Source organism: Homo sapiens, chromosome 3, assembly GCF_000001405.40.
Source record: "Homo sapiens chromosome 3, GRCh38.p14 Primary Assembly".
Taxonomy (NCBI): Eukaryota; Metazoa; Chordata; class Mammalia; order Primates; family Hominidae; genus Homo; species Homo sapiens.
In genome coordinates this window covers 124,991,297-125,016,095 of record NC_000003.12, presented here as the reverse complement: position 1 = coordinate 125,016,095, position 24,799 = coordinate 124,991,297, and the positions used below count along the sequence as shown (strand labels likewise).

At 45.6% G+C, this 24,799-nt stretch overlaps 1 protein-coding gene across 1 annotated transcript in view, besides 3 other annotated features; it reads left to right on the top strand.

Moving 5' to 3' along the window:
- Positions 1 to 24,799, top strand: part of HEG1 (heart development protein with EGF like domains 1) — a 90,288-nt gene that overhangs the window by 39,902 nt on the left and 25,587 nt on the right. Inside the window, exons 6-12 of the mRNA NM_020733.2 lie at positions 2,106 to 3,473; positions 5,541 to 5,657; positions 6,272 to 6,391; positions 10,728 to 10,831; positions 13,781 to 13,839; positions 14,084 to 14,244; positions 18,273 to 18,407. Coding sequence (NP_065784.1) covers positions 2,106 to 3,473; positions 5,541 to 5,657; positions 6,272 to 6,391; positions 10,728 to 10,831; positions 13,781 to 13,839; positions 14,084 to 14,244; positions 18,273 to 18,407 — 2,064 coding nt within the window. The remainder of the gene's footprint in view (positions 1 to 2,105; positions 3,474 to 5,540; positions 5,658 to 6,271; positions 6,392 to 10,727; positions 10,832 to 13,780; positions 13,840 to 14,083; positions 14,245 to 18,272; positions 18,408 to 24,799) is intronic.
- Positions 1,157 to 1,451: an enhancer, noted in NCBI's record as "tiled region #1791; HepG2 Activating non-DNase unmatched - State 15:Elon". NCBI's record gives its function as "activates a minimal TATA promoter and a strong SV40 promoter by Sharpr-MPRA in HepG2 cells {active_cell/tissue: HepG2}" and the evidence as "EXISTENCE:reporter gene assay evidence [ECO:0000049][PMID:27701403]".
- Positions 13,566 to 14,765: an enhancer, noted in NCBI's record as "MED14-independent group 3 enhancer chr3:124720175-124721374 (GRCh37/hg19 assembly coordinates)". NCBI's record gives its function as "activates an origin of replication core promoter dependent on BRD2, BRD4, P300/CBP and CDK7 cofactors, and independent of MED14, by STARR-seq in HCT116 cells {active_cell/tissue: HCT116}" and the evidence as "EXISTENCE:reporter gene assay evidence [ECO:0000049][PMID:35650434]".
- Positions 20,397 to 20,691: a silencer, noted in NCBI's record as "tiled region #13474; HepG2 Repressive non-DNase unmatched - State 14:Gen5', and K562 Repressive DNase matched - State 24:Quies". NCBI's record gives its function as "represses a minimal TATA promoter and a strong SV40 promoter by Sharpr-MPRA in HepG2 and K562 cells {active_cell/tissue: HepG2 | K562}" and the evidence as "EXISTENCE:reporter gene assay evidence [ECO:0000049][PMID:27701403]".

Below are 24,799 nucleotides of genomic sequence, written 5' to 3'. Positions count from 1 at the left end.
AGAGAAATCGTACTTAGATCCTGCTCTTGCGCCTCTCCTGGTTGGCTCTCCACAGGTCTTGAGCCCTTCAGACTGGCTTGAGTCGCATCTCTGTCTGGCTTCTGGCTTTCTCAGTGATGCTCGTGGCCCGTGCTCATTCCTGTCTCTGTCAATTCAAACCTATCCCAAAATGAATTTAGCCAACACTCAGCTTTACACTGTTTTCCATCAAAGCATGGCCATGGCGTACTGACAGCCAGTCTGGGCTGGGAATGTGAATAAGAACCAGAAAAGAGCCTGTTTTTTGTTTTTTGGGTTTTTTTTTCTTTTTGTACAGCCAGATTAGGAAGGATTTAGGCCAAGGAGAATTGGACCTCATTTTCATCATTTCTGAAGAGAAGGGTTTATCTGATAATCTAACAATCTAAAATTAGTTCTAAGACCCTTTAGGTTTGTAGCATAAACACATACCCAAAAGAGAATGAAACAGACATTTATTCATGTGTCGTCTGCCCTCTTCCATCCCCATCAATAGAATAAAACACATGCATTTTAAAAAATAAAAGAAGACAAAAAAACAAGCCCACCTTTCACCCCCCACCTCAGGCTGTTTCTTTGCCATTGTACTAATGCCGTGTAATGACTGGCCTTGTGGCCATTCATGTATTCCTGGTCCTTCCGGGAGGAAGAGCCTTCCAAGGAGGACTATGGCCTCCCTTCTGGGCCTTGTGCAAATGTCTGAAGCCCCAGTAGGATTATTAGTCTTTCACCAACTGTTTACCTCCTCACCACCACTACCAATTTCTCTGACATAAACTCTATTTATTATGTATCACTGAGCAGAAATCTAGTATCGATCCTATTTGCTAAAGTAATATACCCTCCTATAAATCCAGGGTGCCTGAACAGTTGTGCTGATCCACAGTTCCTCTTGAGGTTTCAATCACTGAGCCATGTTTGCAAGGGCAACAGACATCTCAGATAAAGACCCTAAAAGTACAGGGGAGCGTCTTGGCTCCCACAGCCCAGGAAGTGAGGCTTGGGGCACGATCCTGTCGCTCCAGCCCTGCATTTTTCAGCCATCCTCTTTCACTCTACTTTTAGCCTTGGAAGACAGCCGAGAGCCAGGCCAAGCACTAGGTGACAGTTCCGCCAATGCAGAGGACAGGACTTCTGGGGTGCCCTCTCTCGGCACCCACACCTTGGCTACTGTCACTGGAAACGGGGAACGCACACTGCGGTCTGTCACCCTCACCAACACCAGCATGAGCACGACTTCTGGGGAAGCAGGCAGCCCTGCAGCGGCCATGCACCAAGAAACAGAGGGTGCCTCTCTGCACGTAAACGTGACGGACGACATGGGCCTGGTCTCACGGTCACTGGCCGCCTCCAGTGCACTCGGAGGTGGGGTGTCTTCCACAGTCTCTTTTAACACATCCCTTCAGCTCATCTATTAATTTACTCACCGTCCTGGGATGATTCAGTTAGCTGTCAAGCCAGAAAGTGCCTTACAAGCTCTTTATGGAGAGAACTTTCTAGATTCTCCCACCTCAGGAAGGTGAATACCCCTCCCCAGTTCCCACCCCCAGCCCTCCACACACACTCACCTAAGGAATTTGGGATAGTGTTTGCTGGGAGACTTAAAATAAGAGACCAACCACTTGTGGCTAAGGTCAATCTCCTGGGAAAGAAATATCTCATTCTATAGAATGGAAAGTTGGGAAGATTTTCCTTTTTTCATTTAGGCATAACAGTTATTCTATTTGGGGTCTTAAGAGCTTTTCAGATACCAGTTTGCTTTTATCGAAAAAGGCATGTGGAGGAAATTTGCAACTCCTCTCCATTTTTAGACCCTTAGTCCCCACTTCTCTTTTGTTACCATTTCCACTGCCGCTACCACTGCTTCTCTCAGGAGGTCAGTCTGCTCAGAGGAGACACTGACCACTCCTGCCTGCCCACAATGTCTTTATTCAGAGTGCTCACCCTTGAAAACCACCTCTCCAAAGCAAGTGTTTCACCCACTTGAATTCATTGAGTTTCATGACACTGAAAGTCTGTTTGATAGTGCATATTTCAGAGTTTTGTTGTTCTTTTATTTGACCTAACTTTGGCTTTTCCGTTTACAGTCGCTGGGATTAGCTACGGTCAAGTGCGTGGCACAGCTATTGAACAAAGGACTTCCAGCGACCACACAGACCACACCTACCTGTCATCTACTTTCACCAAAGGAGAACGGGCGTTACTGTCCATTACAGATAACAGTTCATCCTCAGACATTGTGGAGAGCTCAACTTCTTATATTAAAATCTCAAACTCTTCACATTCAGAGTATTCCTCCTTTTTTCATGCTCAGACTGAGAGAAGTAACATCTCATCCTATGACGGGGAATATGCTCAGCCTTCTACTGAGTCGCCAGTTCTGCATACATCCAACCTTCCGTCCTACACACCCACCATTAATATGCCGAACACTTCGGTTGTTCTGGACACTGATGCTGAGTTTGTTAGTGACTCCTCCTCCTCCTCTTCCTCCTCCTCCTCTTCTTCTTCTTCAGGGCCTCCTTTGCCTCTGCCCTCTGTGTCACAATCCCACCATTTATTTTCATCAATTTTACCATCAACCAGGGCCTCTGTGCATCTACTAAAGTCTACCTCTGATGCATCCACACCATGGTCTTCCTCACCATCACCTTTACCAGTATCCTTAACGACATCTACATCTGCCCCACTTTCTGTCTCACAAACAACCTTGCCACAGTCATCTTCTACCCCTGTCCTGCCCAGGGCAAGGGAGACTCCTGTGACTTCATTTCAGACATCAACAATGACATCATTCATGACAATGCTCCATAGTAGTCAAACTGCAGACCTTAAGAGCCAGAGCACCCCACACCAAGAGAAAGTCATTACAGAATCAAAGTCACCAAGCCTGGTGTCTCTGCCCACAGAGTCCACCAAAGCTGTAACAACAAACTCTCCTTTGCCTCCATCCTTAACAGAGTCCTCCACAGAGCAAACCCTTCCAGCCACAAGCACCAACTTAGCACAAATGTCTCCAACTTTCACAACTACCATTCTGAAGACCTCTCAGCCTCTTATGACCACTCCTGGCACCCTGTCAAGCACAGCATCTCTGGTCACTGGCCCTATAGCCGTACAGACTACAGCTGGAAAACAGCTCTCGCTGACCCATCCTGAAATACTAGTTCCTCAAATCTCAACAGAAGGTGGCATCAGCACAGAAAGGAACCGAGTGATTGTGGATGCTACCACTGGATTGATCCCTTTGACCAGTGTACCCACATCAGCAAAAGAAATGACCACAAAGCTTGGCGTTACAGCAGAGTACAGCCCAGCTTCACGTTCCCTCGGAACATCTCCTTCTCCCCAAACCACAGTTGTTTCCACGGCTGAAGACTTGGCTCCCAAATCTGCCACCTTTGCTGTTCAGAGCAGCACACAGTCACCAACAACAGTGTCCTCTTCAGCCTCAGGTAAAACACAGTCACACAAGCACATGTTAACTGCAAGGCCCAGTCCAGCACTGAGAGCTACATGGGGCTCGGGGTTCATGTGAATTTGTAGAAATGGCTGGCATTTGAAATAGCTTCTGTTTTGCGACCTAAAATGCTTCCTATTGAAACACTTAAAGTGTAAAAGAAGGTCATGGGTGGGCCTAATTTTCTCACCCCTGTGTTGTATAATGCTTCCTGAATAAAGAGGAAAGGATGCATTGGCCATGTGTCACATTAGTAGATGGTACAATTGCAGCTTTTAGTGCCCTGTAGTTGTAAGAGCTTTTCAAGCATGCCGTTAACTCCTCAGAGGTCAGAGGAGGGCAGTGATGCAGGATTGTAGGGTGGAGAAACTCAAGTAAAGAAGCTTAGGAGGCCTGGCTGACACAGGGATCAACTGGGTATCTGCGTCTGGATCAGATCCCAGAGTCTCTGAGTCAGGGGCTCCCCAGTCACCAGGGAGCTTCTTGGCGTCACTGGGCTTCTCTTGATCCAGGGAAGCCCAAGCTCCTTTGTCTCCGAAAGAGTGTGTGGCTAGTTGATAAATGGGAGTGGGGAGACATGTAAATGAAAAGATGGTGAACTAACCTTTTCCCACAGTGACCGCACGGCCAGAGCTCCTTTACATCACACTTAGGGTTGTTTTTGTAGCCACGTTGAAGTTGCTGGTACCAGGAAAGTAAAGCCAGCCAAATGATCCTTTGTCATTTAAGGAACGGTAGAAGGAAGTAGGATGATGCAGCTTTTCATGTCATGTTCAAAGTTACACTTCTGGCTTGTCCAGACATGGGAAAGGAAAACTGCTGTTGGAGGAGTGAAATGGAAACTGGCGTCTTAGGGAAGAAGGAAAGAAGAGATGATGCTTTGTAGTGGCTGGAGCAGAAAGCTCAGGGAGCAGCACAGTTCCAACCTGTCAGCCACAATCAACCTGGGCTGGAGGCTCATAAGCAAACCACCCCCATGCCAAGCCCCACAGTGCCCCTTTGTATCAGTGATCTGAGCACCTCTGGGAAATGAAAGGTGGCTGTTTCTCCAGGGAAGTTTGGGAGCCTTGCTTCAAGGCCTATAGCCTTCAGTTTCAGAGGCCACATATATTCCAGTGCCAGATGAAATCTAATTCACAAGTCTCCCTTAAAGCCATTAGCCATTCTGATGATAACTGTAGGCAAGTATTAGGGGCAGATTCACTGGCTGTTACTATATTTTTTGTGCCAGTGTTCATGGGTTAGTGTTTGGCTATATAAGTGCTGTGCTTCTATGGGTGATTTTAGATAACACTTGACATGGCAATACAGGATAGGAACACCATCTTTAGGTTTAGCTCATTTGTTTTCAGGGTTACTATTTTTTTTTTTTGAGTGAAGACTTGACTTTTACCTTCTTTTTTTCATTCCACCACTGATTTCCTTTTTGCAGACAATGCAGTTATGTTGTAGGCTTCGGCTTCTCTAAGTATGTCAGAAACCTGTATGAAGCATATTACATAGCTGCTCAACTCTGATCATTTTCTAAATATGGCACAATATGTGGAGGCTGAGTTACATTTGGAGATTTTGGAGTAAAGGATACTATGATTTTGATAAAGAAAGCCCAAGAGAAAGGGCAGGGCACGTGTGCACAGACACACAGACACACGTATACAGAGTAAATCTTCTAGCGGGGGAATGAGTTGATCAGAGATCCTTTTCCCCCCTAAAGTGTGCTTTCAATTGGCATTGATTCAAGTAGAATTTTCTTAAGTGTCACAAAGGCAATATAATCATCAATCCTGAATGGAGTGACCTGTAAGCAGCATTTGATTACAATCAGTTCTTGCATTCAGGGATCCCATTGTCTGACACTTAGATCTGGACACAAGCTAGTACCAGGACCCAGTCCCAATGCACCTCTGGGAAACCCATTTTACTTTTGTAATGTGGCCTTTCAGGGCAAGTAAACAGAAATAAGCAAGAATCAAATATTAGCTGGGAGAATTAAATATTTACCTAAAGCTGCCTTTACATTTCCTGTGTGGTTAACTGCTTTACTCCTGGAATGTGTTTGTAGTCAACAGCTGTGCTGTGAACCCTTGTCTTCACAATGGCGAATGCGTCGCAGACAACACCAGCCGTGGCTACCACTGCAGGTGCCCGCCTTCCTGGCAAGGGGATGATTGCAGTGTGGGTAAGAGAAAAAGTAACGCCCAGTGGTCTGCACCACAGTACCACGTTGGGCTACCCAATAAACTCCTTTTTCCTCCAAAATGTGGACAAATACACTGTTTTAGTTAATACCCTGCTTACTTGAGAGTCAGCATGTTTGTAGGTTGTGATCTGCAGGAGAATGTCAGGAACTGTAGTGTGGCACTGCCAGACTTCCTGATCTGTGTCTGTTCCCAACACTCCTGCCACACTGTACCCTATTCCTGCCCCTGGACTTTACTGTGCTGATGCCTCAGGCTGGAATCCCCCCACTGCCACCCTAATCTATTGATTAAAGTCCTTCCAGTTGTAGTCCAGATGTTATGTGAAACAGTCTTTAATTCTCCCCTCCATTAAAATTTGCTGTTTCCCCCGTATATGCAAATCTTGTCTTGTATTTACAGTTAGTTGTTTATGTGGCCACCTCCACCCTCAATAGATGGCAAGCCCCTTGAGGGCAAGAGTGTTCTCATACTTATCCTTTGGGGTCTCACCACACCTAGCACCATTTGGCCCTTAGTAAGTACTTACTACACTGGGTTATGGTTTTGCTGTTTGCTACAGATGCAAGATGTTCTTCTTTTTTCTCCTCTACAGATGTGAATGAGTGCCTGTCGAACCCCTGCCCATCCACAGCCATGTGCAACAATACTCAGGGATCCTTTATCTGCAAATGCCCGGTTGGGTACCAGTTGGAAAAAGGGATATGCAATTTGGGTAAGAGACTTAGTCTATTTCGGACTTTATTCCGTACCACAATATATTTTACAAGGTAACATTTGTTATTTTTCTTGCTAACCAAAATCAGTATTTGTCCAAGGTATAAACTTAAGGAATATAGAAAAAAGTGGAAGCTATTGTCCATTATTCTAATACTTGGAGATAGAACACCCTACTTTGCATTATGTTTTTGATGTGCAGTATATTTTTACATAGTTGAAATCATAGGATATCTGTATAAACTTTATATCTTAAACATTTTCCTGTGTTGTTAAAAACATTGTACAAACATCTTAATGACGGCATATTATGCCATCATTTGTGTATAATATTATTTGCTTAACCACTCCACCCTGGAGCTAGGAAAAAAAAAGTCAAAAGGATTATTCTGACCACATAATAAAAAAAAAAAAAACAATTTAGATGGAGAAAAGAGAGAGTAAAACTCTGATTGTCCTACCACATTCACACATTCTTTCAGTTTTTAAAAATGACCTTCATGCTCTTGCTCATAGGCAGATACATTTTGAGAAAGCTGCTGTCCTAACTGTATCACACAATTTGTCATATTTTGTTCACTAATTTGATAGATTCATGATGAAGCTGTTTGATTTTGAAAATAATCTCCATTTTACAAGTTAAAAAGCAAGCAAACAAACCAAACGAAAACCAAGGCCTTCACAAGGTGCTAAGTGGCCAAGCTTACGTAACGGGTTGGTGGGAAGCCTGGTTCCCAGCCCACAGCTCTTTCTATTACATGATAATGTGTTAACTTTAGGAGCTTTCTTGCTTGCAGGGTGTGACCCTTGTTAGAATGTCAAGTTTAATACATAACTTGTTGAAGAAGTTAGAAATGAAAGATACAGAGTTTTTTGTTTTTGTGTTTTTTGTTTTTTGTTTTTTTTGAGACGGAGTCTCACTCTGTTGCCCAGGCTGTGGTGCAGTGGCACCATCTCAGCTCTCTGCGACCTCCACCTTCCAGGTTCAAGCGATTTTCATGCCTCAGCCTCCAAATAGCTGGGATTACAGGCATGCACCACCATGCCCAGCTGATTTTTGTATTTTTAGTATAGAAGGGGCTTTGCCATGTTGGCCATGCTCTCGAACTCCTGACCTCAAGTGATCTGCCTGCCTTGGCCTCCCAACGTGCTGGGATTACAGGTGTGAGCTACTGTGCCTGGCCAGATACAGAGTTTCTAAGCTAAGTAAGGAAACTGGCAGATAAAATAACTCATCTTTCAGTCATCTTAAATTGCCCAGTGTGACACTTAACACACAAAAAGTGCTCAGTGTTTTTGAGAGAGCAAATGTCTGTATCCTTTGAAAGTGCTATTACCTGTGGGCTGAAGAGAATTTTTAAGAAGTACCCTACCAAAATAATGGTAGAATTTTGAAAATTGTTTAAAATACAAAGATCAAGTCAAAACATTGTTTCAAAAAGAAGGATCTAGAAATAGAGACATCAGTCAAAATCAAGAATTTCTCTCATTCTGGCCTGGTGTAGTGGCTTATGCCTGTAATCCCAACACTTTGGCAGGCTGAGGCGGGCTGATCACTTGAGATCAGGAATTCAAGACCAGCCTGGTCCACATGGTCAAACCCTGACTCTACTAAAATTACACAAATTAGCCAGGCATGGTGGCACACACCTGTGGTCCTAGCTATTTGGGAGGCCAAGGCATGAGAATTGCTTGAACCCGGCAGCTGGAGGTTGTGGTGAGTCGAGATTGTATCACTACATTCCAGCCTGGGCTGCACAGTGAGACTCTGTCTCAAAAAAAAAAAAAAGAATTTCTTTTATTCTAATAATTTACTTGCATTTTAGTAAACTATTTAGCCACGCACTAAGATATTGCCAGGAGTTTTCAGTTTAAGAATAGAGAAGCTGGAAATGATTTTATTTTTAAGGATTGTGGGGAAAGTGTATTTGCCCAGGACTCAAATGATTTGCTTCTAGCTCCAGGGCCACCACCTATAGCACATGGCTTCTGAGCCCTATATTTCCTCATCTGTAAAATCAGATTACCATCTGTCCTGCTTCCCACTCAAGATTATTGTGAAGATCAAGTAAAGTAATATATTTGAGCAAGCTTTGAAAATGGTAAAGAGCTGTCCAGATGGGAGGTACCATTTAACTTTAGTCTTCAAACTCTTGGACCAGAATTGAAAGCATTGAAAACAATAAACTGTGCTGAATACAAAGTAATAATTATGGCTCTTTCCCAAAAAAATCATTTAGATAACATAGGGAAATCAACATTTAAATTGGAAGTAAAACTTCTACTTAAAGCCAGGTGCTGTAACTGCAGGCGTAAAGGTGTAAGTGTCTTTAAAAAAAAACAACAAAAAACTCTGCCTGGAGTGAGTGCAGGGTTTGGAATGAAACTGATATATCTTTATATTCACACCAAAAGCAGATGCCACGTTTACTGTCCTGACTCAGAATAGATCTACGTACCTGACATTTGCGATGTGAATTTCTTTTTTTTTTTTTTTTTTTTTTGAGACGGAGTCTCGCTCTGTCGCCCAGGCTGGAGTGCAGTGGCGGGATCTCGGCTCACTGCAAGCTCCGCCTCCCGGGTTCACGCCATTCTCCTGCCTCAGCCTCCCAAGTAGCTGGGACTACAGGCGCCCGCCACTACGCCCGGCTAATTTTTTGTATTTTTAGTAGAGACGGGGTTTCACCGTTTTAGCCGGGATGGTCTCGATCTCCTGACCTCGTGATCCGCCCGCCTCGGCCTCCCAAAGTGCTGGGATTACAGGCGTGAGCCACCGCGCCCGGCCTGCGATGTGAATTTCTATACAGAGAGTCTGGGTATCAGCCTAGACACGTGAGATGAGAAAGTGAAGAAGCAGGACCATTGTTCTGGAAGCCTGCGTGCAGAGGGTTCCACAGGTAGCACAGCTCAGGAGGAGAGCAGCACTATCGCCTTCACAATCATCTTTCCCTTTTCAAGTCATTTAGCTTCATTGTTCATAAACATCAGAGGAACATGCAAATTAGAGCATGCTGAAATGCTTTCATTTGGCCAAGAATGTTTTCAGAGAGCTCCCTGCTGCTCAGAAAGAGTCCTAAGCAGCTGGCTTCACTGAACTGTAGAACAAGCAAAAAGATGTTAAGTAAGGATTAAGCGCTTTAGACAGTAAGTGTAAGATGTTAAATGTTTTCCCTGGCTCATTTGTGGGTCTTTTTCTCAATTCGGCATGCAGGCTTTCGGGGAAAGAGCAGCTTCATGGACTTCTGTGTCTTGAGTTATTTGTTTTCCATCCGGAGGGAAAGATAAGCATTTAATATAAAGGAAGATAAGAGCCAGCAATAAAACACACCATACTAAATTTTGGTTGCCTGCCCATTTGTAAGTCCCGTTCCCCTCAGGCTCAATCAGCACAAATTGATGTTAACTGGAATTTTATTTTATGAGTGAAATGGGCCTTGAAAATGAGGCTGCTTTTTTTCATTTCCGAACCCAACAGTGTCTTGAATATGGGCTGTTTTCATTATGTGGCTTATAATCATGGAGTCGGCAGCCCCATGGAGTATAGCCCCACGACACATGCTTGGCACCTTTCTTTCTCTCAAGTCCCTTGGGTGTCCTTAGGATATCAGATTCCTCAGGGCACAGAGGTTATAGGGGAAAGGAGAGCTTTGAAGATGGACACGCATACGCTCCAATGCCAGTGGTGGCCCTTGGGAGCCTGGGTGAGCTTTCTTAGGAAGTTGCCTGACCTCTGGAAGCCCCCTTTATCAATGATAAAATGGGAATTTCCTCTGACCAAGAGGAATGGGGTTTGGATGGGTGTGGCTCTAAGGACAAGAGGAAACTGAAGCACCCCCTTGAAGTGGTGGGCATGACTCAGTTGGAGACCTCAGAGGACGAGAGCTTTCCTCTGTCGAAAGCCTGATGAGGCCTGAGGAGCATTTTTAGTGTCTAACACATCTCCCTCCCTCCTCCTAGGATGACATTGTTTAGACCTGTTCATCTTTCTTCTTTGTAGCAGCTTTCTTGGGCATCTATTGTGCGGGAGGCCATCCTAGGGACATTGCTAAGGCTCCTCCTCTTAGCAGCCTTGCACATACAAAAAAGGCTCTTTGGAGTTTCTCTCTCTCTCAAAAGTTTGCTCAATCTAAGCCTTCAGCACAGTCCAGTAGATGCTCACTTTGCTAGAGAAAAATCTAGAAGAGGGAGAGGGAGTCTTCACCCATAAGGAGAAAGAAATGCAGAGATTGTCCTGTGAGGTGGAGTAAAGCCGGACACCCCAGAGATGTGCAAACACACAGCCTTGCATAGGTTCTTCTGTTGTGTAATCTAACAAGTTACATTTTCATTTTCAGTTAGAACCTTCGTGACAGAGTTTAAATTAAAGAGAACTTTTCTTAATACAACTGTGGAAAAACATTCAGACCTACAAGAAGTTGAAAATGAGATCACCAAAACGGTAAGTGTCCTGAATGGCATCTTTCTACTCGTCTTTTGTTTCCTAGAACAGATTTTATTCCAAGAGGGGACTGCCTAGCGGTCAGCTGTGTCTCCTGGGCTCTTCACTTTTGTTATATTTGGAAGGGAAACTTCTTGGTTAAAGAAAAAGCCTTTCAGAAATGGAAGTGAGGTATTTGTGCCCAGTAGAAGAGTTTCTTCAAATGTGTCCTCATGCACAGTCTTTATCTGCACCTTTGTGTTTCTTTTCCATGTGCAAACTCATAGTTACAGACATGCTGATGACAGGCATCAGCAGGAGCTGTTGGTGAGGAGGAAAGACCCAGAAAAATCTTACGGTCCCATCTGCTGTTAACAGGCTGTGTGACTTTCCTCTTGTATTTTGGAACTTAGGGAAATGATACTCTTTTTCCTCAAAGGAATGCCAAAGGTGCAGCAGTTAATCCTGATGTCCTAGGGTTTGAGAACTCACTGTATAGATGACCGAGGGGTCTTTGATTCTGCTTCTTTCCCTCTTTGCCCGCTTTTTATCAGAATTTTTTTTTTTTTAAAGAAAAATGCCATCCTGGGCAGCATGGCAAGACCCTGTCTCTACAAAAAAGACAAAAGTTAGCTAGGGTTGGTGGCGTGCACGTGTGGTCCCAGCTACTCAGGAGGCTGAGGTGGGAAGATTACATGAGCCCCAGAGGTTGAGGCTGTGGTGAGCCGTGATCGAACAACTGCACTCCAGCCTGGGTGACAGAGTGAGACCCTGTCTCAAAAACAAAAGAAACCCCCCAAAACAGAAACAACTAAAAAGGAAAATGGAGAGGAAGAAAGAAGACAGGAAAATGAAGCTCATATAATAAACTTTGCTTCTCAACTGCTATCTGAGTCAGAGATTTGACTCATCTATACAGTGAGTTCTTAAACTCTAGGTTCAGAAAATTGAAATTTGCCATTAAAAAACTTTAGAGATGAATTGATTTCCAATCTCAATGTTACTTGTTCTTTGTGGATAAGAGTTAGTATATTAGCTAGGAATTATACATTTCTACAGGACTTTGGACTTTATCTGTGTAAAATACGGATCTAGTTCTATTTCTCTATCTCCTGAGCATTCACTTCATGATAGGGACGATGTCAGATGGCGCACTCCTGTAACAGGCATTGCCAGCACATCTGCAGATAGAACCCCGGGAGGTCTGGAAGTGAATGACATTGCCTGAGTCCACGCAGAGCAGGTGCAAAGTTGGGGAACAGTCCACTAAACCACCATCACTACTGATACCAATTTCAAGTTCAGGCATCCCCAAGATCGCCCTCAGTTTCAATAATTCACTAGAGGAGTCACAGAGCTTACTAAAAGCGATTATATTAACAGCTACGGTTTATTACAGTGAAAGTCAACAGCTTAAAATCAGCCAAGGAAAGAGATGCACGGGGCAGAGAGTCCGGGAGAGTTCCAAAGGCAGAGCTTCCAGCTGTCGTCCCGCTGAGGAGTCATGCACAGTGTTAACTCCTCCTGGCAACAGTGTGTCCAGTATGCAGGGAGTACTGCCAACCACGGAAGCTCTCCAGAGCCTTGACTGGGGCTTTGTCATGTGGCTGACCTCAATCTCCAGCCCCTCTAGAGGTTGAGCTGATACCATGTTACCCAACCCCACCATAAATCACATTGTTGGACTCTCTGGCATGGCCCAGCACCCCCAGGTAAACAAAGAAGTTTTTATTAGACAGCACATTCCAAGGGCTTAGAGATGGCCTCCCAGGATCCAAGAGCAAAGGCCTGACTTCCCTGGGGCCAAGGTTAAATTCTTTACTACACAGCAGAATTTTATGTCTACTAATCCTATACTTGTCCCTTCGCCACAGCTGCCTGTTGGTCGTGCTGCAGGTGGATATCTCCTGCTAAGATAATACAGGGATTTAGAACCCTTTGCAGAAGTGCAGTCCTTTGCATTACGTGGCGCTCAGTGACTTATTTGACTTGCTATTTTTTGCCCAGTATCAATGTATAATTTACTGGTGATGTAACATACCTGTCCCCAAGAAAGAGTGAAGATTAATCCATCATTGGCTGAGGAAGCCACTCAAATGTTCTTTCCCGAGGTGTTCTGTTTACCAAACCTGGAAAAACAGGTTAATAATAAAACAACAATAATAAATCATTGCTATTAGGCTATACACTGATGTCATAGAAAGGGTTTGATAATGTCCCATGTTTGCCTCCATCTTCTGCAGAGTGGCATGTATCTGATACATGGGCCTTGAACACAGGTGGATCTGCACTGGGCCCAGTACTGAGACCCTCCACTCCGGGAAAGGAGTCTCGATAGCTCCTATTGTGCAGGGTAGCAGGGAAGCAGGCCTGATATTTCATGCTGTAGAGGGATTTTCTGCCGTCTCCAAGGGCACAAGGCAAACATAGGGAGAGTAGCTCTTAATTTGCTCTCAACAAAGGGGCTCTTGACCCACATAATGTAATTTCTCACGGAGAGCCTTTTTGAAGAAGACCTGTCTTTGAGTTAGGTCAACTCATTGTAGATTATGAGGCGTCTATGTAGGGCCTGTCAGACCTAGAGTAGCTGAAAGGAGCCTTTCCAGTGCAGCTCGTTCACTATGCAGAGTCCAAATAAACAGTTGCCTCTGAGTTGTTTGAAACCCTGGGCCTTAAAAGAGAGCTGCTTCTTTGAAGATGTTTTGCATCCAAGGGTGCTATTCTGAACATCATTTCCTGCCAAGATTTTCCCCACTGATTTACTCTCTGCCTCTTTCTCTTTGTACTCATGGAACAACAGAAAGGCATTTAAGAGGGGAACAAAAAAAGGACACCACTTCTGTGCAAAGCCGCGTGCTGATAACTTGATGGCTGGAAAATGCCTGTTTTATCCTGAAAATAGGAAACTGGTTCTAGGTCCAAGGCTTTTGTCTAACTCACTGTTAACGACAGGCTTGTTCTTCCTTTCAGTTAAATATGTGTTTTTCAGCGTTACCTAGTTACATCCGATCTACAGTTCACGCCTCTAGGTAAGTAACAGAATTATATTTGCTTGTGAACTAGTCTGTACAAAGGGGAGGCTGTTCTAACATGGGTGATAGCAACAAAACCGGGCTGTTTTCACCCAGCCATGGGGCAATCCAGGGCCAAGGTCACTGACCTTCATGCTCTCCCATCCCGTCACTGGTGAATGGCGATGACATTCATTTCCAAAAGCCTTGGGACCCACGTGTCATTTCAGGGCTGTTAAAAACCCACAAACTTTGCCTATAGGGAGTCCAACGCGGTGGTGATCTCACTGCAAACAACCTTTTCCCTGGCCTCCAATGTGACGCTATTTGACCTGGCTGATAGGATGCAGAAATGTGTCAACTCCTGCAAGTCCTCTGCTGAGGTCTGCCAGCTCTTGGGATCTCAGAGGCGGATCTTTAGAGGTAAGAGGGCAGCCCTCTGGGAGGATCCTACCCATATAGTTAGGCACAGACCTAAGATGGAAATGCAAGGCATCCAGGGCTCAGGCCCAGGAAAGGCCCTCACAGAGCCTATTTTTGGCATGGGTGTTAAGTCAAAGACCTTTGTGCACATGCATCTTCTTTTATGTGTGCATGCATGTACAAACATGCACACACACACCCAGAGTCCTGTACACAAGCCTTGAAGACACCTGGTCCTTGGCATGCAGCTCCTTCTGTTTATTTTATCCAGTGTTGATGTGGGAGGGGGAGGGGCATAGGAGCTGATGTGACAAAGCAGAAATCACTCTTTTTCCACTGAAAAGTTCCTGCTCTCTTTGGGGAAACAGAATGTACATGCTTGTCAATGACCCAAAAAAACCTTCATCTGGCCAGAGGCAGTGGCTCACACCTGTAATCCCAGTACTATGGGAGGCTGAGGTACCCTTAAGCCCAGGAGTTCGAGGCTGCAATGAGCTATGATTGCACCACTGCACCCCAGCCTGGGCCACAGAGTGAGACCCTGCCTCAAAAAACAGAATAAACAACCACCACCAAAACCTTCATCATGATACATTATTAGGTTAAAAAAAAAAAAAGCATGTGCAGTATTACCCATCCTTTGTGTTTGTTTGTTTGCACATTATAAATGCACAGAAACAAAACCAGAAGAATGGAGGCCAGAATGCCCACAGTGGCGCCATAAACAATTATTTTCCTTTTCTCATTCTTGCTTTGTCTGTTTTGTCAAAAGCTTCTATAGTGCCTCTGGTGTGAGGCAAATGAAGAAAGGGATTGGAGACAAGTTCAAAAGGGAAGTTTTGGTCTTAGAGGAGAAGTTTCACCTCCAGGACAGGAAAACTCAACTGGAATCTAAAGTACTTCTTTGCAAAGGGGGCTTGTCCCTGTTGCCACGTGCTACATGATCAAAGTTAGCTCATTTTACTACACAAGTAGGGCTGGCAAAGGATGGAGAATCTAGTCTAAACCACCCATCTGGCATCCAGACGCTGGACATGAGTAGAAGATATCAGGTTGTAACAGTCTGCTGGTAGATCCATGACATTGACATTCCCAGTGGGCCTGGGTTCCATAACTTCCAGTCAAGAGAGCTTTCTGGAGTGGGCCTGTATATTACAGAGCTTGGGAGCCAGATTGTTAGCCCTTCATTCTGGGATAAGAGCTGGAGCTTGGCCCATTTAAGGCTAGTTATTAATCTGAGAAAAAAAAAAAAAGCTAAACTTTCTGAAGTTGAAGTTACTATTGATGGGGGAGTGAGGTAGAAAGGTCATGCCCCATTATATCATGCTCGAAACTTTGAGACTCTATGGTTTTACTTTTTTGTTTCTCTTGACAAGGATTCAAGGGTACCAAGTTGTCCTCCCCAGTGAGGTAGGAAAGTCACCTTTCAGTTCACTAAATATTTATGGAATACATTCTATGTGATCAACATTGCACCAGGTTACTTTTTGTTTCCCATAAATGCATTCAAATCAAGTGCCTTGCAAATCAAGTGCCAGCCATTTGGATTTGAAAGAGCCTGCTCATGGCAGCCCTACCCACCCTCTGACTCCCATTCTTCCGACTGCTTGTATATGGTTTATGGGAAAGTACCTCTCACCCTTGCTGCCTTGCTGAAGTTCCTATTTACTTCTCCTTTCAGAGCCCGTGAGAACAAAGACAGCTATGCATATTAGCTGAAAAAAACAGGCTTGTTTCCCTGTTTTTCCTCCCAGGTCTTCTCCAGGTTTTGCCAAGACCAGCCTGGTCTCATGCTAACCTTTCTGAGTACTAGAGAGGTGGCCTTGACAGCTTCTGACATCTGGGTGTTTCCAGCATAAGGGCAGTGCTGGGCTACTCTGGACACTGCCATTGGAAAGGAGGGTTTTCTGTCTTCACTTCATAAAATATCCACTTCCTTGCCTTTCAAAGAACTGCAGCTCTTGTCATCTCCAGAGGTTTAGTCTTTGGAAATCCCCCATGGAATGTCTCAGCTTTAGATTTACTTAGAGTCTCATTGTCTGTTTTGGCGGATGTTATGCCCAGGAAAGACCATGGGAATTGTGAATGTAGCAAAATCACATTGCCAGGCTTTATATGAAAATGGGATTCTACGTGGTCCTATTGGATGAATTTATGGTAGAATATTCTTTGAGAATTTGTAGGGTAGCAACTCCTCCACTGCAGAGGCAGGGCCTGTGTCCCATGCTTTTGCATGGATCTGCTTCTGTGCAGGGCACAGTTGCTCCAGCAGAGTGATTTGCCAGCAGGCTGGATTAATGGGCAGGGTGGAAGGAAAACGTGACATTGGCTTCCAGAAAATATCTAATCAGGCCAGGCAACTCTGGCTGGCTGCTGGACAAGGCAAGTGTCAGCCTGGACAGGTTTCTGCCCTGGAGGAATTTCTTTATATTAAGGCTTGAGGACTGGCAAAGCCTTCAAAGAGTTGAGATGAGGGATTGTGGAAGTTCATTACCTCCCTGGTGCCAGCTTTGCAGTGTTTGCCTGGTGAGATTTTCCATTTTTAATTTTTCTCCCTTAAATACAAACTTTTTACAATAAACAAAGGAAATTCTGTCACACACACAAATGTGGTTCTGATTGAGCACGCTAGCTTCCACTGATAAAGGCAGGAAATTCAGCTTTGAGAACTAGAGTTGTGTCCTAAGCTTACCTCGTGTGACCAGGCTGTCTACCGGTCCTGAGTTCTCAGGACTCACAAAAGGGGGCAGATTTCAGGAACCCCATGTGGGGTGGCAGCTCATGTCACCAAAACCTGCCTGGGCAGGGGCAGTTTTGCAGCATTAAAAGGGGTACCTGGCTTCTGAATAGGTTGGCTTCCTCCTTTGGGTGGGAAATGGGAGACCATGCCTGGAAAATTGGCAGCCATTCCTCCCTGCACAATAGATACATGGCCCTTCCCCTTGCATCTTTCTTCCCATTCTGAACTTGAGCTTGCCCCCCAATAACAACAGCAAATATCTAGCTTGCCTTGCCCTGCACATGGGTGTAAATAAGGTACTATCCACTATCCAGTTGGTTTCCTATTTTTGTTCTGTTCTCTGTGTACCCCATATACACAGGAGGCCTATGCACCCTCATTGTGTCTGCTGTACACAACTTCACAGAGGGCCATATGCCCCACAGGAAATGCTTTCTGATAATAATGAAATGATTCTTTGTCATCCATGAGATGAATAAGGCCCTAAAGTAAACAAGGTAGCAAGCCTGAAAGATGGGCTCCTTCTCTGCCTGCCTCTGTTTCTCTCTGCCTGGTCAGTGACAGGCGGCCATGTGTACCAACCAGTCCCTGTGCCAGGCACTGAAGACCCAGAGATGAAGAAGCCTCAAGAACCCATCAGTGGAGTGGGGGAAACTGCCTGATAAGCAGAATTACACTACAGCCCGGGGCAAGCAGATTGTCTTTCAGATCTCTCCTCATCACCAGTCTCTTGTAGGCAGCACGCTGTCAGGACAGCAAGCCACCTTGCCACAGGGAGTGGTTCTAGGTCCCTTTTTAGGCCATGCAGACACACAGAGCTGAGATGTACTTCCACTTGAAACAGGTCTGGCCTGCACTCCTGTTCTTAGTCCAAGTCTCGGCTTCCTAAGAACTCAGCCGTATTTTCTGGTTGTGCTGATCCTTCCTCCGCAGTCCTTTGGAAGACACGGGGCCATTAAGGGCTGTATTTGCAGTGAGCACCAGAGGAGTGAACAGGGCCTGTTTATTCCAATTTCGTTTCTCAGTGGGTCCGTGGCACGCTGTGAGGGTGTTTTCAACGGGGAACACTGGTGCACAGCCTGCGGCTGATCAGAGAAGGAGTGGCAGAAGGCAGTACAGATGGACTCCTGAGAGGAGTGTTGCTCTGTGGAGACTTTTCGGAAAACTGTTCTCAGCCTCTTGAAATAGAGAGTTCATGCAGACACATGAGCTTTGAAGTGGAGGAGATTTTAAGGTTTGAAGTGGAGAAGGTTTTGTTTTGTTTCACTGTCTTGTTTTTCCATTCCAGCGGGCAGCTTGTGCAAGCGGAAGAGTCCCGAATGTGACAAAGACACCTCCATCTGCACTGACCTGGACGGCGTTGCCCTGTGCCAGTGCAAGTCGGGATACTTTCAGTTCAACAAGATGGACCACTCCTGCCGAGGTAGCCACAGCTTCGCCTGGGGTTCTGTGCCCAGTCCTGGGACTCTGCCTGGTGCTCTGTTTCTCTTTCTTGCTCTCTCTCTGTCTTTGCTTAGGCGTGACCATTCTAAACTGAGGGTAACTGGTTCTTGTTATTTTGCTCGTGGCAGGATTGAATACATTATCTCCTTGGAATAATAGCATTATCTTTGACTGGTGCATGCTGGTCTGGCCAATTAAATTCAAAGGAAGACAGAATGGAATGCCTGTGGTAGCAGTGCCTTTTCTTTTTTTTTCCATTTAAAGGAAGTTAGAAAAATTATTGTTTTAATTCCCAAAGCTTTATCTGTTGTCTGCTAATCTTTTAAAGTGGAAGTACAAGCGTGGGGTCAGGCTTATATCTTTCAGAGGCAGCTGAGGCCAGAGTCAGAGCCCGACTCTGCCTCACTGATCATGTATCACCTTGGGCAAGTCACTTTGTTTCTCTGAGCCTCGGTTTCCTCTCCTGAGAAATGGGTATGGTGATCCTCTATTGGATATTTATTCTAAGAGTTAAGGAAGGCAGTGGATATAGAGGCCCTTTGTAAGCTGTCAGCATCTGCTCTTGTATTTGGTCCAGGTTGTTGTTGAATTAATGAGTTCTGGTTTTAAAGGTCTCATGAAGTGCTTGAGAGCAGAAATCTAATTCTACTAACCTTTAAGGTGAGGCTTAAATTCATTTAGTTTCAGGGAAAAACTGCTCAAAGAATGTAGTCCAAGAATACTGCTTTAAAATAAAATTAATTCAGGTCCAAGAGCACCACGCACCCTGACTTATAAAAGGCTGCTGCAACTTGCAATCACCAGAAAAACTAACGATATAAAGGCCATCATGGATGGCCAGTTTTCCTACTCAGTCAACACCTTGCTGGTGACAGATGTCAATGGATGTTACTGGAATCTGAATAAAAATCACATACTGGGGCGAGGCGACATGCCACTTTTCTCCATCAGGACTTCCCATGAGAGGACTTGTTCATCACAGATAAAAATATATTTCAGGGCAGCACTCTTATCCTGAGCTTCAGACCCTCTGACTTTGTTAGGTTTGGATACAAAGTTCTTCTCAAGTGCGCATCATCAGCTCTCCAGGTGGGACCTGTGATGGGTTTTGAAGGGGAGGGCCAACTCTCTGTGTTGGGCCTAGGTCCTGATGTGTGACTAGGACACAGCATGTCTCAGTGCCGTGCCAGACTGCCACATTGCTACAAAGAGATGATGCTTCCTCATGCCATCTTATCTGCTTTAATGCAAAGTGTTCCTTGCACCTCTTAGAAATGGGGAGTTGAGCCGGGCGTGGTGACTCACGCCTATAATTTCAGCACTTTGGGAGGCCGAGGCGGGCAGATCACCTGAGATCGGGAGTTGGAGACCAGCCTGACCAACACAGAGAAACCCCGTCTCTACTAAAAATACAAAATTAGCTGGGTGTGATGACGCATGCCTGTAATCCCAGCTACTCGGGAAGCTGAGGCAGGAGAATCGCTTGAACCCGGGGAGTGGAGGTTGCAGTGAGCCGAAATCACACCATTGCACCACTGCAGCCTGGGCAACATCTGTCTCAAAAAAAAAAAAGAAAACAAATGAGGAGTTGAGCCCATCTTCACATGGGAAGGGGACTGGGCTAACATCCATGTGTGTTGGGGCGCTGTGCTGCTGACAGGGGATGACACAAGGTGGGCAGAGGTATGGGCATGGTGCTGTGGTGTTCCCTGTGAACAGTGTCTCAACAATGGCCCTATCACCTTTGCTTCTGGCTGGCCTGCGCCACTTCCTCTGTTTCCAAGTCAGCAATTTTGTAATTGTTTCAGTTACAGGCTAGCATTAACAATAGCTGTGAAAGATTTACCGAGTGTGCTGACACAGGCACCAGCAACCTTATGTTGACCAAGTGAGGACCCAAGAAGCAGCATAAGGAAACCTTGATTCACTTTTGGGCTTGTTGCTGAGACCCCGTGAAGCCCTTTCTCAGCAGTATTTGCACCATCAGGCCTCTGAGGAGTGGATTCCGGGCTTCTTGGGCCACAGCCCTTTAGGCTGGGTTCTGATGGGTTAGCAGTGACATCTTCTGGCCATCAGTGCTGGAGCACTGACACCTCAAATCAAGGCTCAATATAAATAGAGGATAGAGGAGTGTGTGTTTTCTAAATCACTGCAGTTCAAGCTATACATTAGCAAGTCTCTATGTTCTCTGCAGCGTGTGCGTGCACACACACACATGCACACACAACGTGCTTGGTGTCTCACAGAAAATGTCTTTGCCAGACTTTCAAAGCTACACATAAAATCAAAGTAGATATCCCTCTCATAGGTTTCTTAGCTTCCTTCCATCATGCAGGCATCATGATTAATTCTTTTTTTTTTTTCTTTTTAGAGACAAAGCCTTGCTCTGTCACTCAGGCTGGAGTGCAGTGGCGCAATCAAGTCTCACTGCAGCCTTGACCTCCTGGGCTCAAGTGATCCTCCCACCTCAGCCTCCCAAGTAGCTGGGACTACAGGTCCTTGCCACTATGTCCAGCTAATTTTTGTATTCTTTGTAGAGATGGGCTTTTGCCATGTTGCCGAGTCTGGTCTCAAACACCTAGGCTCAAGCAATCCACCCACTTCGGCCTCCCAAAGTGCTAGGATTACAGGCATGAGCCACCACACCTGGCAATGAATTCTCACAACCTGTTTGCATGTCTCTTTCTTTAATCCGACTGCCATTCCCTTGAGTGCTAGAACCATGTCCTGAGCAGTGCAGGGTTCAGCAAATGTCTGTTGAATGAACGAGTGGATGATAAGGCAGCAAATAAGATGGGAAAAGATTGACATGGCTAGATATAATTTCCTGCAAGGGAACAAAAGAGTTTTTAAGATGCCACTGTCAGCTGGGCACAGTGGCTCACGCCTATAATCCCAGCACTTTGGGAGGCTGAGGCGGGAGGATCATGAGGTCAGGAGTTCGAGGCCAGCCTGGCCAATATGGTGAAACCCTGTCTGTACTAAAAATACAAAAATTAGCTGGGCGTGGTGGTGCATGCCTGTAGTCCCAGCTACTCAGGAGGCTGAGGCAGAAGAATCGCTTGAACCCAGGAGGCGGAGGTTGCAGTGAGCTGAGATCCCGCCACTGCACTCCAGCCTGGGTGACAGAGCAAGACTCCGTCTCCAAAAAAAAAAAAAAAGATGCCACCATCTACTTATTTCTATTTTTAAGTCCAGAAGACTTGAATTCACTTGTGTCTTATGGCAATAGGGGAAGCCCAGTTTGGGAATATATACTAGCTGTTGCCAAATTCATTTCATCTTCAGTGCTCTGTGGTCAGAATACCTCTGGGGCAGGGGTCCCCAACCCTACCAGTTTGTGGTCTGTTAGGAACCGGGCTGCACAGCAGGAGGTGCAGTTAGGAACTGGGCTGCACAGCTGAGTTCCGCCTCCTGTCACATCAGCGGCAGCATTAGATTCTCATAGGAGTGTGGACCCTGTTGTGAACTGCACATGTGAGGGATCTAGGTTACGTGGTCCTTAGGAGAATCTAATGCCTGATGATCTGAGGTGGAACAGCTTCATTCCGAGACCATCTTCCCAAGACCACCCCCTTGCTGGTCCATGGAAAAAATGTCTTCCATGAAACCAGTCACTGGTGCCAAAAACGTGGGGACTGCTGCTCTAGGGTGAGTGAGATGAGAAGCTGGGTCCTAAGGAGCACAGGAGCACCTCACTGACAAGGTTTCCCCAGAACAGCGCCACGGCACAGTAGCACTCAACCACTGATGCGTAACGGAATGAGCCCATTTGAAATAGAGAAATATCATGACATCAGGGAGCCAGGTCACTTCTGATACAAAATGAAAACAGCCCAACCCATCAGCTCGCGGGCAGGACAACAGATGGACCTTACATCTGCCTGGATGACAGCCATGGAGTGGAGCACTTCCACCCAGCAGATGAAGTCTAATGTTGGGTGGGGAGATTGGATGTAAAAACATTTCCAGGAAGAAGTGTTCAAAATAGAAAAGGCTGGTGTGACATCAGCCTGCCTCAGTGCCGAGATGGGTGGGGAGGAGTCACTGAAGAAGCAAGCAATTTCCGGTGGCTGCCCCGCAGCGTTAGCCATCCATGGATCATCCAGGGTAGCTTCCCCCACTCCCACGTCCTGCTGCAGTATGAAGCAGAGGCATACACAGGAGGAGGGCCACCAGACATGGGAGAGGCAGGAGCACTCAGCTGCCTCCTTAGAGAAGGCCCCACCTGAGTGAGGCCAGCAGAGAACTCAGGTATCAAAGATTGGGAGATGGGGCCTCGTTACTCCTTCCCTAAACAGGATGCAATTATGCTCTACCTGTGGCATAAAGTGAAAGCACCTAGTGAAAACTGATTTGATAATATAAGATTTAAAAATATGTAAAAGGTAAATCAGGTTAAAGGGGAAATTAACGGACTGTTTTGTTGAGGCCAGAAGGAAAGTGAATATGCAGAATGAGACACAGCAGGGTCCTGCACGCTTGCTAAAAGAAGGCCCCTCACTTAAGTGCTGAGGTTCCCGGACACTGAGGCAAAAAGGGAAACATGACTTTGAAAAGAGTCAGGGTCCCTAAAATAAAGAGCAGCTGTTCAGGAGCATCCCTGTGTTTTAAAACAATGGGGCCAAGAGCAATTTCTCTGGGGCATCCTCGTCAAGAGGTTACTGAGTGGTATTGTAGCAAAGCAGTCCATGACATCCCCAAATAAATACCACAGGGACTTTCCCATGGCTGCCGCTTATAACAAAAAGCCCTTAATACAAGAGAATGTAGCTCAGGAAAAGTGATACTGTGGGGTCAAAACAGTGCTGTCCAGGTGCACAGCTCTCTAATATCTGCTGTGAGACACATTACAGATGATTTAGAACAGTGTTTTTGAAACTGTATTCCACAACACTCTAGTGATATGTTAATAGAAAGTCTGTAACAATAAAGCACATGCCAGAGGCATTCAGCTGCTAACATTAAGAAAGTAGGAGGAAGAAGATTCAACACATCGTCATGAGGAAAGTTATCACACACAAGGACGCTGGACCCAGCCCACAGGGCATCACTCGCCAGCCCCCTGCCCCTCCTCACCCCCAGCCATGCATGCTACTGGCCCCCATAACCCACCATTAGCACGTCTGCCATCCCATCAAGTATTGCAGCTCTACACTCTGTACCTTTTCTTATTCGGGATCTTTTATGCAATGTATCTCGTACATTAACCCTGTATCACATTTTTATCATTCCTTGCAGCAGAGAATTTGTCTGTGAGGCCATTTTTCATTGCTTTCATTCAAGCATGCATTATAGCTCATGGTGTTCTGTCATCTTATTGTTGTGTTGAAAATGTTCTGTGATCACATAAATTCAGGAACTGCTGATCCAGGGAAATGGCCAGGCTGCAACTGCTTCAGTGAAGTAGCGTTCCATGAGCTGCACCACCCGAGGGTTCAAAGTTCTGTTCTTGGGCAAGGTGCCGATTAGCACACATCTAGATATGTCCGAAATCCCCTACACAGACTCTAGGGTGAGCATTCTGTTACGAAAACCTGGGTACACACCAGGACTGTGCCCCAGAAGATGTCACCTACAGCTCCCCCCCTTCTCATGGAAGGGTGTCAGCAGGGCCATTATCAGGTTAAAGGTTTGATTTACATTAAAGAAGGGGAGCCATATGTCTTTGTGATGGAAGGAGTTTCCCCAGGGGACATTCTTCATCTATAGAGAACTTCTAAATGAATTGCATTGGTCATATAATAATTACAACTACATGCCTGACATGGTGGTTCACGCCTTTAATCCTAGTACTTTGGGAGGCCGAGGAGGGCGGATCATCTGAGGTCAGGAGTTTGAGCAGCCTGGCCAACATGGTGAAACCTCATCTCTACTAAAAATACAAAAATTAGCCAGGCTTTGTGGCGGGCCCCTGTAATCCCAGCTACTTGGGAGGCTGAGGCCGGAGAATCGTTTGAACCTGGGAGGTCGAGGTTGCAGTGAGCCAAGATAGTGCCACTGCACTCTAGCCTGGGCAACAAAGCTACTCATCTCAAAAAGTAATAATAATTACAACTACAAAACCCTGATTTAGTGGTTACTATGTACCAGACCTGTACTAAGCCATTGGATTGCCTTATTTCACTTAATCACCTCCAATAAAATACTTTTTATAGCTGGGAGATTGAGAGCCACAAAGAGGTTAAGAAAAGTTTTTTGATAAGGTTAAGATTTGAGGCTAGGCATGGCGAATCATGCCTGTAATCCCAGCACTTTGGGAGGCAGAGGCGGGCAGATCACTTTGAACTCAGGAGTTCGAGACAAGCCTGAGCAACAGGGTGAAACCCCATCTCTACTAAAAATATAAAAATTTGCTGGGCATGGTGGCAC